Below are 15158 nucleotides of genomic sequence, written 5' to 3'. Positions count from 1 at the left end.
CAAAATAAAGATCAATTAACAGAAAGATACATGGAACATCCCAAAATATGTGAAAACTAAACAAAATACTTCTAAATACACATGGGTCAAAGAAGAAATCTGATGAGAAATTTATAAACGTTTTCAACTATATGAAAATAATACACAACTTACCAAAATTTGTGGGATGTAGTGAAAGCAATGCTTAGAGGAGAAATTTATAGCACTAAACGCATATACAGTCACATGCCACATAATGATGTTTTTGTCAATGAACACACCTCATATACAACGCTGGTCTTGTAAGATTACAATGGAGCTGAAATTCCTATTACCTAATGATGTCATGGCAGTTGTAACCTTATAGTGCAATGCATTTTTCACATGTTCATGGTGAAGCTGTTGTAAACAGACTTACTGTATGCTGCCAGCTGTATAAAACTATAGCACATATAATTATGTATGTGTTTGATAATGACTATGGTACTAATCTATGTATTTACTATACTATACTTTTTATCATTATTTTGAAGTATATTCCATGGCCAGGTGTGGTGGCTCATGCCTGTAATCCCAGAACTTTGGGAGGCTGAGGTGGGGATCACCTGAGGTCAGGAGTTTGAGACCAGCCTGGCCAACATGGTGAAACCCTGTCTCTACTAAAAATACAAAAAAATTAGCCAGGTGTAGTGGTGCATGCCTGTAATCCCAGCTACTCGGGAGGCTGAGACAGGAGAATTGCTTGAACCCAGGAGGCCGAGGTTGCAGTGAGCCAAGATTGCACCACTGCATTCCAGACTGGGTTACAGAGCAAGACTCCATCTAAAAAAATAATAACAATAATAATAAAGTATGCTCCTTTCACTTATTTTTCTTAAGTTAACTGTAAAACATCCTCAAGATCCTCAAGCAGATCCCTTCAGGAGGTATTCCAGAAGAAGGCACTGATATCATACAAGATGACAGCTCCATGAGTGTTACTGCCCCTGAAGACCTTTCAGTGGAATAAGATACGGAGGTGGAAGACAGTGATACTGATGATCCTGACCCTGTGTAGACCTAGGCTAATGTGTGTGTCTGTGCCTTAGTTTTTAACAAAAGCAATGGCAACAAAAGACAAAATTGACAAATGGGATCTAATTAAACTAAAGAGCTTCTGCACAGCAAAAGAAACTACCATCAGAGTGAACAGGCAACCTACAACATGGGAGAAAATTTTTGCAACCTACTCATCTGACAAAGGGCTAATATCCAGAATCTACAATGAACTCAAACAAATTTACAAGAAAAAAACAAACAACCCCATCAAAAAGTGGGCGAAGGACATGAACAGACACTTCTCAAAAGAAGACATTTATGCAGCCAAAAAACACATGAAGAAATGCTCATCATCACTGGCCATCAGAGAAATGCAAATCAAAACCACTATGAGATATCATCTCACACCATTTAGAATGGCAATCATTAAAAAGTCAGGAAACAACAGGTGCTGGAGAGGATGTGGAGAAATAGGAACACTTTTACACTGTTGGTGGGACTGTAAACTAGTTCAACCATTGTGGAAGTCAGTGTGGCGATTCCTCAGGGATCTAGAACTAGAAATACCATTTGACCCAGCCATCCCATTACTGGGTATATACCCAAATGAGTATAAATCATGCTGCTATAAAGACACATGCACACGTATGTTTATTGCGGCATTATTCACAATAGCAAAGACTTGGAACCAACCCAAATGTCCAACAATGATAGACTGGATTAAGAAAATGTGGCACATATACACCATGGAATACTATGCAGCCATAAAAAATGATGAGTTCATATCCTTTGTAGGGACATGGATGAAATTGGAAACCATCATTCTCAGTAAACTATCGCAAGAACAAAAAACCAAACACCGCATATTCTCACTCATAGGTGGGAATTGAACAATGAGATCACATGGACACAGGAAGGGGAATATCACACTCTGGGGACTGTGGTGGGGTCGGGGGAGGGGGGAGGGATAGCATTGGGAGATATACCTAATGCTAGATGACACATTAGTGGGTGCAGCGCACCAGCATGGCACATGTATACATATGTAACTAACCTGCACAATGTGCACATGTACCCTAAAACTTAGAGTATAATAAAAAAAAAAAAAAAAAAAAAAGAGAAAAAAAAAAAAAAAAAAAAAGTTTAAAAAAATTTTTTAAATAGAAAAAAGCTGACAGAATATATAAGCTGAGATCACGCCACTGCACTCCAGCCTGGACAACAGAGACTCTCTCTCAAAAAAAAATACTTCTGTACAGCTGAACAATATGTTTATGTTTTAAGCTAAGTGTTATTACAAAAGAGCTATTACAAAGTGGTATTACTAAAGAGTCAAAAAGTGAAAAAAATGAAGAAGAAGTAAAAACGTTACAGTAAGCTAAGATTAATTTATTATTGAAGAAAGAAAATTTTTAAAAATAAGTTTAGTGTAGTCTAAGTGTACTATGTTTATAAAGTTGATAGTAGTGTATGGTAATGTCCTAGGCCTTCACATTCACTCAACACTCACTCACTGACTCACCCAGAGCACCTTTCAGTTCTACAAGCTCCATTCATGGTAAGTGCCCTATACATGTATACCACTGTTTATCTTTTATGCCATATTATAATGTACCTTTTCTATGCTTAGATACATAAATAACTACCTTTGTGTTCCAATTGTCTACAGTATCCAGTACAGTAAAATGCTATAAAGGTTTGCAGCCTAGATATAGGCTTAACCATATAGTGTAGGTGTGTAGTAGACTAAACCACCTAGGTTTGAGTAAGAACACTCTATGATGTTCGCACAAGGACAAAATCACCTAATAATGACACATTTCTTCAGGATGTATTCTGATCACTAAATGACATCTGACTGCTTTAAAAAAGAAAAATGATCAAAATCAATAATCTAAGCTTTACCTTAGAAACTAATAATTGGCCAAAAGCCTTAACAGATATCTCTCCAAAGAAGATACAGATACAGATGGCAAATAAGTACAAGAAAAGATGCTCCACATCATATATTACCAGAGAAATGCAAATTTAAACAACACTGAGATATCATGACATACTTACTAGAATGGCTAAAATTCCTAACACTGACACCACCAAATGCTGACAAGAATATGGAGCAACAGGAACTCTTTTGCTGGTGGGAATGCAAAATGTTACAGCCACTTTGGAAGACAGTTTGGCAGTTTCTTATAAAACTAAAAATACTCTTACCAATACAATCCAATAGTTGCTCTGCTTGGTATCTACTCAAAGGAGTTGAAAGTTTATCTCCACACGGAAACTTCCAAATGTATGTTTATAGCACCTTCAATCATAATTGCCAAAACCTAGAAGCAACCCAGATGTCTCTTGGTAGATGAATGGATAAAGTGTTATATCCAGACAATGGAACATAATTCAGTGCTGAAAAGAAATAAGTTATCAAGCTATGAAAAGACATGGAGGAAAGTTCAATACATATTACTAAGTGAAAGAAGGCACTCCAAAAAAGCCATACTATATGATTCCAACTGTATGACATTCTGGATAAGGCAAAACTATAGAGATGGTAAAAAGATCAGTGGTTTCGAGAGATTAGGGTGGAGAGAATGATTACTAGGCAGAGCACAGAGGATTTTTAGTGCAGTGTCACTGCTCTGTATGACATAATGGTAGACATATATTTTTATACATTTGTTCAAACTCACAGAATATACAACGCCAAGAATTAACCCTGATAGAAACTAGTGACTTTGCGTAAGAAAGATGTGTATACACGGGTTCATCAACTGTAACAAATATACCATTCTGGTGGGGGATATGTTGATAATAGGAAAGCTATGCATATGTGGGGGAGGGAATTATGGGATACCTCTGTACCTTCCTTTCAGTTTTTCTGTAAAACTAAAGATGCTTTAAAAAAAAAAAGCACCTTAAGAAAAGCACCACCACCAAAAAAATGAAGGCATGATAAATACATTTTTAGATAAACAAAAACTGATTATTGCTTGCAGACCCACCTGATAAAATATACACACAGAATTTCTTAAGGCTGAAGGAAAGTGACCTAAGAATCCACACAAGTCCACATGAAAAATCTGGGTGTCAGTAAAAGTAATTATCTAATTAAAACTCAGCATATGTGCGTATTTGTTTTCTTAGCTGATTTTAAAAAACTGCACAAAATATGTACGTAATTGTACTATTGTACCTATAACATATAGAAATGTCATATATCTGTGAGTAACAGAAGAGTGGTGGGTGGGAACAAAGCTTTACCAAACTAAGGAAACACCACCAGATGGTAACAGGATTCCATAGGAACCAATGAAGAGAACAAAAAATGGTAAATAAGAAGGGTCATCTAACACTATAAACGTATACTTGCTCTCCTTTCTTTTCCCTTCTATAAAAGACAAAATTATACTAATAATTATAACAGATACAATATGTATAACAATAATAGCATAAAAAGGAGGAAGAGAAAGTAGAGCCATATAGTGGTAATGTTTCTATGCGTGACTGGCATAAAACTAGTAACAAATCTAAGGAAGATTTGGTTGAGATGTACCTGATAAGCACTAAAGCAACCCATGAAATCTCACTCAAAAACATATTGTAGGCTGGGTACAGTGGCTCACACCTGTAATACAACACGTTGCGAGGCCAAGGTGGACAGACCACTTGAGGCTAGGAGTTAGAGACCAGCCTGGCCAACATGGTGAAACCCTGTCTCTACAAAAAAATACAAAAATTGGGTCGGGCGCGGTGGCTCACGCCTGTAATCCCAGCACTTTGGGAGGCTGAGGCGGGCGGATCATGAGGTCAGGAGATCGAGACCATCCTGGCTAACACGGTGAAACCCCATCTCTACTAAAAATACAAAAAAATCAGCCGGGCGTGGTGGCGGGTGCCTGTAGTCCCAGCTACTCGGGAGGCTGAGGCAGGAGAATGGCGTGAACCCAGGAGGCGGAGGTTGCAGTGAGCTGAGATTACACCACTGCACTCCAGCCTGGGCGACAGAGTGAGACTCCATCTCAAAAAAAAAAAAAAATTAGCTAGGCATGGTGGCGCATGCCTGTAATCCCAGCTACTCAGGAGACTGAGGCACGAGAATTGCTTGAACCCAGGAAGTGGAGTTTGCCATGAGCCAACATTCTGCCACTGCACTCTAGCCTGTGCAACAGAGCAAGATGCTGTTTCCAAAAAGAAAAAAAAAATTGTGAAAATGACATTAGAAGAACTAAATATTGCCAAAGAAAATACTGCTTTAAAGTAAAAGAAATGAGGAAAGACTTGAGAAAAAAAACCCTGAAACATTTAGAAAAAGAAAAAGTAAACTGGTGTACATAGATGCAACTATATCAACAATAACATTAAATGTACATAAATTAACCCAGCCAAAGGTAGAGACTGTCATGCAGGATAAAAAAGTGAAGATTCCACTGTATGCTCTGCATAAGAGATACAATACACTAAACAAGGGTGTCACGACCTGCCAGTAAGGAAAGAATAATCTTTTCAACAAATGGTGCTGGGACAACCGGATTTCCATATTCAAAAAAATGAAGTTGGTACCCAACGTGGTGGCTCACGCTTGTTATCACCAACACTTTGGGAGGCTTAGGTGGGAGGATCACTTGAAGCCAGGAGTTTGAGAACAACCTGGATAACATAGCAAGACCCCATCTCTGAAAAAAAAAAAAAAAATAATTAGCCAGTCTTGGTGAAGTCTTAGCTATTTGAGAGGTCGAGGTGAGCGGATCACTTGGGCCCAGAGGTTCAAGGCTGCAGTAAGCTATGATAATGCCACTGCACTCCAGCCTGAGTGACAGAGCAAGACTTTATCTCTTTAAAAAAAAAAATGTAGTTGGACCACCTGCCTCACACCATACACAAAAATTAATTCAAAATACATCAATGGCCTAAATAGAAGAGCAAAAACCTAAGAAAACATAGATAATAGATCTTCATGATCGTGGATTTGGCAATTGTTTCTTAGATATGACACCAAGATTATGAGCAACAGAAGAAATAATAGATAAACTGAACTTTTTTCAAAACTAAAAACTATTGTGCATCCAAGAATATTGTCAAAAAAGTGAAAAAAAAAAACCAAAAAAAAAACACGGCCAGGGGTCGTGGCTCATGCCTGTAATCCCAGCACTTTCGAAGGCCAAGGTGGGTGGATCGCTTCAGCTCAGGGGTTCAAGACAAGCCTGAGCAACATGGCGAAACCCTATCTCTACAAAAATACAAAAATCAGGTCAGGTGTAGTGGCTTATGCCTATAATCCCAGCACTTTGGGAGGCCAAGACAAGTGGATCACCTGAGGTCTGGAGTTTGAGATCAGCCTGGCCAACATGGTGAAACCCCGTGTCTACTAAAAATACAAAAATTAGCCAGGCATGGTGGCACGTGCCTGTAATCCCAGCTACTTGGGAGGCTGAGACAGGAGAATCACTTAAACACAGGAGGTGGAGGTTGTAATGAGCCAAGATTGCGCCACTCCACTCCAACCTGGGCAACAGAACAGGACTCTGCCTCGAGGGGGAAAAAATTAGCCAAGTGTGCTGGTGCGTGCCTGTAGTCCCAGCTACTCGAGAGGCTGAGGTGGGAGAATTACCTGAGCCTGGGGAAGTTGGGGCTGTAGTGCTATAGTGAGCCATGATTGTGCCAGTGCACTCTAGCTGGGCAACAAAATTAAAACCCTGTCTCAAAAAAAAAAAAAAAAAAGTGAAAAAACCACCTACTGAATATGAGAAAACATTTGCCAGTCATATATTTGACAAGGGTCTAGTATCCAGAATATATAGATCATTCTCTTATAACACAACCAGAAAAAGAAATCAACAAAAAACTTGAATAGATATTTTTTCCAAGAAGATATTCAGATCACCAACCACCACATGAAACAGTGCTCATCATCATTAGCTATTAGAGAATTGCAAACCAAAACCTTAATAAGGTATCATTTCACAGCCACTAGGATTTTTTTTTTAAGTGGGTAGAAGAGACCATAATGTAAGTGCTGGCAAGGGATGTGGAGAAACTGAAACCTTTGTGCGTTGCTAACAGGAATGTAAAATGGTTCAGTCATTGCAGAAAACAGGTAGTTTTTCAAAGAGTAACATAAAATTACCATATAGTCCAGCAATTTCACTCCTTCATATATATCCAAGAGAACTGAAAACAGGTACTCCGAAATGTGTAAACCAGGGTTCTAGCAGCTCTATTCACAGTAGCCAAAGGGAGGAAATAAATACACATCAGTGGATGAATGGCTAAACAACGTGTGGCATATACATTCAATGGAACATTATCCAGCTATAAAAAGGAATGAAGTACTGATACATGCTACAATGTGGAGGAACCTCAAAAACATTTTGTTAAGAAGCCAGACACAAAAGGTCACATGCTATATGATTTCCATTTATGTGAAATAACAGAACAGGTAAAACTACAGAGACAGAAAGCAGACTGGTGTTACCAAGGACTGAGATGAGGTGGGGAATACGGAATGGATGCTTAATAGTATAGTGTCTCCTTGCAGAGTGATGAAATGTTTTAGAATGAGATACAGGTATTAGTTGCAAAACTTTGTGAATCCACCAAGTGCCACTGAATTATTCACTTTTGAATGTTAATTTGATGCTATGTGAATTTCACCTCAATAAAGTAAAATTTTTAAAAAGTAAACTGAGAGACCTGGTAACAAACTGGATGTTGCTAAAGATGTGTATGTACGTGGCAAGGCTGAAAGCAAACATTCTTTAAAGAAAAGAGTTGCATTTTCCATTATTACATAAAAGAAATTAGGTGTGGTGGCTCATGCCTGAAATCCCAGCACTTTGGGAGGCTGAGACAGGCAGATGGCTTGAGCTCAAGAATTTCAGACCAGTCTGGGCAACATGGCAAAACCTTGCCTCTCTAGAAAAAAATAAAATAAATAAATAAATACAGAAACGAGCAGGACGTGGTGGCATGCACCACTAGTCTTAGCTACTTCGGAGGCAGAGGTGGGAGGATCACCTGAGACTGGGGAGGTGGAGGCTGCAGTGAGCTGTGAGATCACACCACTGCAGTCCATTGTGAGAAACAAAGCCAGACCCTGTCTTAAAAGAAAAAAAAAGCATGGATGAAGCTTATTTTGGAAAAAGATAGAGATGGTCAAAAGAAAGGACAGTCAAGTTGCCATTATCTTCCTGTCACCTTTAGGTGTGCTGGAAGACTTCTTTCTTCCTCTTAGATCCCCTAAAATAGTGCTTAGGGCCAGGAAAATTTCAACAACCTAGTCATTGCAGAGGCATTTGGGGAAAACAGAAAGAGGAGGCAATGATCCCACCTCAGGACATCAGGCACCCATGCCCAGAAGAGTCCTCCACTCTCAAAGAAAGAGCACAAATCTCACATAACTCTGTCTCGAATGTTGAAGCTACAGCTGCCAGGGACAGAAAAAGGGATAGATTGTCTGGAGCACCATAAGATGTCTCCATGGCTTTGGAACTCAAGAAGTTGGTTAGATCAGTAACTTGTTTTAAGTAAATTCCTTCCAAAATATTTCTAATCTGAAAAACATTTTCATTACAATTGATGTTTTAAATTTTCTGGCATTTAAAAAAAGGAAAATAGACTGACCAACTGAAATAAGTCCATGAGAAACAAATCTTATCCTTCAAATTTCTCTTGTGGGCTCCTTTCTTCATACTTTCTAAGAATTTTTTACGATTACTTATACTACTTTTTCCTCTTGTCCCAGAAATGTGGAGAAAAATCAATTTCCTTATGTTGCTCTAATTTTAATATACTACCTCTAAGCAAATGCTTTCCAAATCAAGCAACCAACCTTGTGTTCTCTTCCAAATCCCAAGTGACAACATCAACTATCTAGTGTACATTCCCAATTTAACACTCTAAAAGCAAACTTATTTTTTTGCTTAAAAAATAAAATCTCCATCTTCATTTTTGAACTTCTCTTTATAGCACTATTATAGGCTAAATTGTGTCCTCCCAAATTTATACACTGAAAGTCTCAGGTCCTCAGAATGTAATGTTCTTAGAGATAAGGTCTTTAAATAAGTGAATGTTAAAATGCTGCCGTTAGGGTGGGCCCTAATCCAATCTGACTGACATCCTTATAAGAAGGGGGAGGGACACACAGAGAAGAGGCCATGTCAAGACACAGCCACCTTGCAAGCCACAGAGAGAGGCCTCAGGAGAAATCAACCCTGCCAGCACCTGGACTTGTCCCAGACGATCTTCCAGCCTCTAGGACTGTGAGAAAATAAAGTTCTGTTATTGAAGCCATCCAGTATGTAGTACTTTATCATCGCAGCACTAGCAAACTAATATAAGTACCACTTTCTCAGATATTCTAACTCAAAGCAATATAATCAACCTAGACTTCCTCTTCCTCTTCCAAGTAATTGGTGAACTGGCCAAAGAGCCCCTTTAAGGGAAGCATCTCAGGTGTAGATTTCAGAACCATTTAACCATAACCAAAGCATCCATACTACTGGAAATATTATTAGTAATATAGGTGTTAATTGCTCTAACTTGTGATTAAGGACTTCTAAAAAAGATAAAACATCTTATAAGGTTTTGATGTTGAAATCAAAAGATCTAATTTCACTTCACAGCACAGATAATAACATACTTGTCAATTTGTCTTGAGTATGGGAGCAGCAGGGTTAAAGATGCTGTTTATTTAAATGTAGACATCTGACCTATTTGTACATAAGAAGAAAAAGCTAGTAGAGAATGACAACAGACACATACATGGAAATGGGGGATGGGGGATGGGGGATAGGGGAAAGAAGGAAAGGCCATTCAGCAAAATGGCTAAGAAAACAAGGTTAAGAATCACACAGAGTTGTGTTCAAATGACAACTTTCTACTTTCTAGTTGTGTGATTTCAGACAAGATACTCAATACATATAAGTAATATAAAAATGTATTTTATTAATAGAATGGTAAGAATTAAATGAGGTATCTATAAAGACTTAATTTCATAAGAAATTTTTTATTATGATTTACAGAATAAGGTCTCTAGAAAAGAACATGTATTTCAGTTAATGTCACCAGAGAACACAATTGGATTATAACTTTTTAGCACTGTAAAGGTTATAGTATTAACTAAGACCAATAAACTAAAATTCAAGAAAATAATTTTTAGCTTAAACAAAAGTTACAGTATTATTTCTTATAAATGTTTAACTAATAGTTTCCAATCAAGATGCAATCAGGCCTTAGACACCAGAAACACAGCATTTCGTAAATAAAGGTGTCCATGGGTTCTGTAGTCACTCAGACCTCAAAGGAGATCTGAAGAAGTAGAAGACTAATTCTACTTCTAAATCTATTACAAACCCTAGGAATGTCTACCTGCACCCTAAAGGAATCTGGCATTGCTTGAATGTCTTCTATGTTCAGCTGTGTGCTGTGCCATGACTCACCAATCTTCAAAGCAACTATGTGAGGAATACGTTACTGAAGGCATTTAACAGACAAACCAATTGGATCTAAAAAAAAGTTAAATACCTGCTTAAGGCCAAGCATTCAGTGAGAGGTAGAATGGAGATCTGAGCCTAGGATGACTGACACAACACCAATGCTCAGGGCCTTTTTCTGTCTCTCAAAAAGTAAAAGCTAGAGCACTATACATTCCATGTCTACGGCAAAAACATCAAAAAAATTTCATTATCAATTGTACTGCATTACAACAACCAGAAATAAACTCAGGTGGTGGTGAGACACTGTACACTCACATTGGAAACTTCAGATTCTCTAAGATAAAAGAATTATATGACAACTACTTACATAAATACAATAACACAGGTCTATGTTCCCTGAGAAGATTTTTCACACAGAATATTATGCAAATTTCGACCAGAAATTTTTTAGAGATACTAGCAAAAACCAATATATACATCACCAAGGCTTTACAATTGTTATTATTTAGCTATGACAGTTTATCACATTTCTCTATCCATTAATCCACCTTACTTTTCTTTTTTTTTTCTCTTCTTCTTCTTTTTTTATTATACTTTACGTTTTCGGGTACATGCGCACAATGTGCAGGTTAGTTACATATGTATACATGTGCCATGTTGGTCTGCTGCACACAGTAACTCGTCATTTAACATTAGGTATACCTCCTAATGCTATCCCTCCACCCTGCCCCCACCCGACAACAGGCCCCGGCGTATGATGTTCCCCTTCTTGTGCCCCCGTGTTCTCACTTTTCAATTCCCACCTATGAGTGAGAACATGCGCTGTTTGGTTTTTTGTCCTTCTGATAGTTTGCTGAGAATGATGGTTTCCACCTTCATCCATGTCCCTACAAAGGACATGAACTCATCCTTTTTTATGGCTGCATAGTATTCCATGGTGTATATGTGCCACATTTTCTTAATCCAGTCTATCATTGTTGGACATCTGGCTTGGCTCCAAGTCTCTGCGATTGTGAATAGTCCCCCAATAAACATACGTGTGCATGTGTCTTTATAGCAGCATGATTTATAATCCTTTGGGTATATACCCAGTAATGGGATGGCTGGGTCAAATGGTATTTCTAGTTCTAGATCCCTGAGGAATCGCCACACTGACTTCCACAATAGTTGAACTAGTTTACAGTCCCACCAACGGTGTAAAAGTGTTCCTATTTCTCCACATCCTCTCCAGCACCTGTTGTTTCCTGACTTCTTAATGACTGCCATTCTAACTGGTGTGAGATGGTATCTCATTGTGGTTTCGATTTGCATTTCTCTGATGGCCAGGGATGATGAGCATCTTTTCAAGTGTCTTTTGGCTGCATAAATGTCTTCTTTTGAGAAGTGTCTGCTCATATCCTTCGACCACTTTCTGATGGCGTTTTTTTCTTGAAAATTTGTTGGAGCTCATTGTAGATTCTGGATATTAGCCCTTTGTCAGATGAGCAGACTGTAAAAATTTTCTCCCATTCTGTAGGTTGCTGTTCACTCAGATGGTAGTTTCTTTTGCTGTGCAGAAGCTCTTTCGTTTAATTAGATCCTAGTTGTCAATTTTGGCTTTCGTTGCCATTGCTTTTGGTGTTTTAGACACGAAGTCCTTGCCCATGCCCATGTCCTGAATGGTATTGCCTAGGTTTTCTTCTTGGGTTTTTATGGTTTCAGGTCTAACATTTAAGTCTTTAATCCATCTTGAATTAATTTTAGTATAAGGTGTAAGGAAGGGATCCAGTTTCACTTTTCTACATATGGCTAGCCACTTTTCCCAGCACCATTTATTAAATAGGGAATCGTTTTCCCATTTCTTGTTTTTGTCAGGTTTGTCAAAGATCAGATGGTTGTAGATATGTGGCATTATTTCTGAGGGCTCTGTTCTGTTCCATTGTTCTATATCTCTGTTTCGGTACCAGTACCATGCAGTTTTGGTTACTGCAGCCTTGTAGTATAGTTTGAAGTCAGGTAGCACGATGCCTCCAGCTTTGTTCTTTCACCTTAGGATTGACTTGGCAATACCGGCTCTTTTTTGGTTCCATATGAACTTTAAAGTAGTTTTTTCCAATTCTGTGCAGAAAGTCATTGGTAGCTTGATGGGGATCGCACTGAATCTATAAATTACCTTGGGCAGTATGGCCATTTTCATGATACTGATTCTTCCTGTCCATGAGCATGGAATGTTCTTCTGTTTGTTTGTATCCTCTTTTATTTCATTGAGCAGTGGTTTGTAGTTCTCCTTGAAGAAGTCCTTCAAATCCCTTATAAGTTGGATTCCTAGGTGTTTTATTCTCTTTGAAGCAATTGTGAATGGGAGTTCACTCATAATTTGGCTCTCTCTTTCTCTGTTATTGGTGTATAAGAATGCTTGTGATTTTTGCACATTGATTTTGTATCCTGAGACTTTGCTGAAGTTGCCTATCAGCTTAAGGAGATTTTGGGCTGAGACGATGGGGTTTTATAAATATACAATCGTATCATCTGCAAACAGGGACAATTTGACTTCCTCTTTTCCTAATTGAATACCCTTTATTTCCTTCTCCTGCCTGATTGCCCTGGCCAGAACTTCCAACACCATGTTGAATAGGAGCGGTGAGAGAGGGCATCCCTGTCTTGTGCCAGTTTTCAAAGGGAATGCTTCCAGTTTTTGCCCATTATGATATTGGCTGTGGGTTTGTCATAGATATCTCTTACTATTTTGAGATACGTCCCATCAATACCTAATTTATTGAGAGTTTTTAGCATGAAGGGTTGTTAAATTTTGTCAAAGGCCTTTTCTGCATCTATTGAGATAATCATGTGGTTTTACTCGTTGGTTCTGTTTATATGATGGATTATGTTTATTGATTTGCATATGTTGAACCTGCCTTGCATCCCAGGGATGAAGCCCACTTGATCATGGTGGATAAGCTTTTCCATGTGATGCTGGATTTGGTTTGCCAGTATTTTATTGAGGATTTTTGCATCCATGTTCATCAGGGATATTGGTCTAAAATTCTCTTTTTTTGCTGTGTCTCTGCCAGGCTTTGGTATCAGGCTGATGCTGGCCTCATAAAATGAGTTAGGGAGGATTCCCTCTTTTTCTATTGATTGGAATAGTTTCAGAAGGAATGGTACCAGCTCCTCCTTGTACCTCTGGTAGAATTCGGCTGTAAATTCATCCAGTCCTGGACTTTTTTTGTTTGGTAAGCTATTATTATCGCCTCAATTTCAGAGCCTGTTATTGGTCCGTTCAGAGATTCAACTTCTTTCTGGTTTAGTCTTGGGAGGGTGTATGTGTCCAGGAATGTATCCATTTCTTCTAGATTTTCTAGTTTATTTGCGTAGAGGTGTTTATAGTATTCTCTGATGGTAGTTTGTATTTCTGTGGGATTAGTGGTGATATCTCCTTTATCATTTTTTATTGCATCTATTTGATTCTTCTCTCTTTTCTCTTTTAGTAATCTTTCTAGCAGCCTATCAAGTTTGTTGATCTTTTCAAAAGACCAGCTCCTGGATTCACTGATTTTTTGAAGGGTTTTTTATGTCTCTATTTCCTTCAGTTCTGCTCTGATCTTAGTTATTTCTTGCCTTCTGCTAGCTTTTGAATGTGTTTGCTCTTGCTTCTCTAGTTCTTTTAATTGTGATGTTAGGGTGTCAATTTTAGATCTTTCCTGCTTTCTCTTGTGGGCATTTAGTGCTATAAATTTCCCTCTACACACTGCTTTGAATGTGTCCCAGAGATTCTGGTTATGTTGTGTCTTTGCTCTCGTTGGTTTCCAAGAACATCTTTATTTCTGCTTTCATTTCGTTATGTACCCAGTAGTCATTCAGGAGCAGGTTGTTCAGTTTCCATGTAGTTGAGCAGTTTTGAGTGAGTTTCTTAATCCTGAGTTCTAGTTTGATTGCACTGTGGTCTGAGAGACAGTTTGTTATAATTTCTGTTCTTTTAACATTTGCTGAGGAGTGCTTTACTTCCAACTATGTGGTCAATTTTGGAATAAGTGCGGTGTGGTGCTGAGAAGAATGTATATTCTGTTCATTTGGGGTGGAGGGTTCTGTAGATGTCTATTAGGTCCGCTTGGTGCAGAGTTGAGTACAATACCTGGATATCCTTGTTAACTTTCTGTCTCACTGATCTGTCTAATGTTGATAGTGGGGTGTTAAAGTCTCCCATTATTATTGTGTGGGAGTCTAAGTATCTTTGTAGGTCTCTAAGGACTTGCTTTATGAATCTGGGTGCTCCCGTATTGGGTGCATATATATTTAGGCTAGCTAGCTCTTCTTGTTGAATTGATCCCTTTACCATTACATAATGGCCTGCTTTGTCTCTTTTGATCTTTGTTGGTTTAAAGTCTGTTTTATCAGAGACTAGGATTGAAACCCCTGCCTTTTTTTGTTTTCCATTTCCTTGGTAGATCTTCCTCCATCCTTTATTTTGAGCCTGTGTGTGTCTTCTGCACATGAGATGGGTTTCCTGAATACCGCACACTGATGGGTCTTGACTCTTTATCCAATTTGCCAGTCTGTGTCTTTTTATTGGAGCATTTAGCCCATTTACATTTAAGGTTAATATTGTTATGTGTGAATTTGATCCTGTCATTATGATGTTAGCTGGTTATTTTGCTCATTAGTTGATGCAGTTTCTTCCTAGCCTTGATGGTCTTTGCAGTTTGGCATGTTTTTGCAGTGGCTGGTACTGGT

The 15158-nt window shown here is 38.4% G+C and overlaps 1 protein-coding gene across 54 annotated transcripts in view; it reads right to left on the bottom strand.

Annotated features, from left to right (window-relative positions):
• The window catches only part of SPIDR (scaffold protein involved in DNA repair), a 475429-nt gene that overhangs the window by 402183 nt on the left and 58088 nt on the right, over positions 1-15158 (bottom strand). Inside the window, exon 1 of one of the 54 annotated variants that reach the window (XM_047421647.1) lies at positions 3229-3385. The exons of the other annotated variants lie outside the window; for them this stretch is intronic. The gene's annotated coding sequence lies outside the window, so the exon portion shown is untranslated. Of the gene's footprint in view, positions 1-3228; positions 3386-15158 lie in introns of those variants that run through there. 54 annotated transcript variants of the gene reach the window in all.

This window comes from Homo sapiens, chromosome 8 (genome assembly GCF_000001405.40).
Source record: "Homo sapiens chromosome 8, GRCh38.p14 Primary Assembly".
Lineage (NCBI taxonomy): Eukaryota > Metazoa > Chordata > Mammalia > Primates > Hominidae > Homo > Homo sapiens.
The sequence above is the reverse complement of the archived record's forward strand: the minus strand, read 5'-3'. Positions and strand labels throughout refer to the sequence as shown.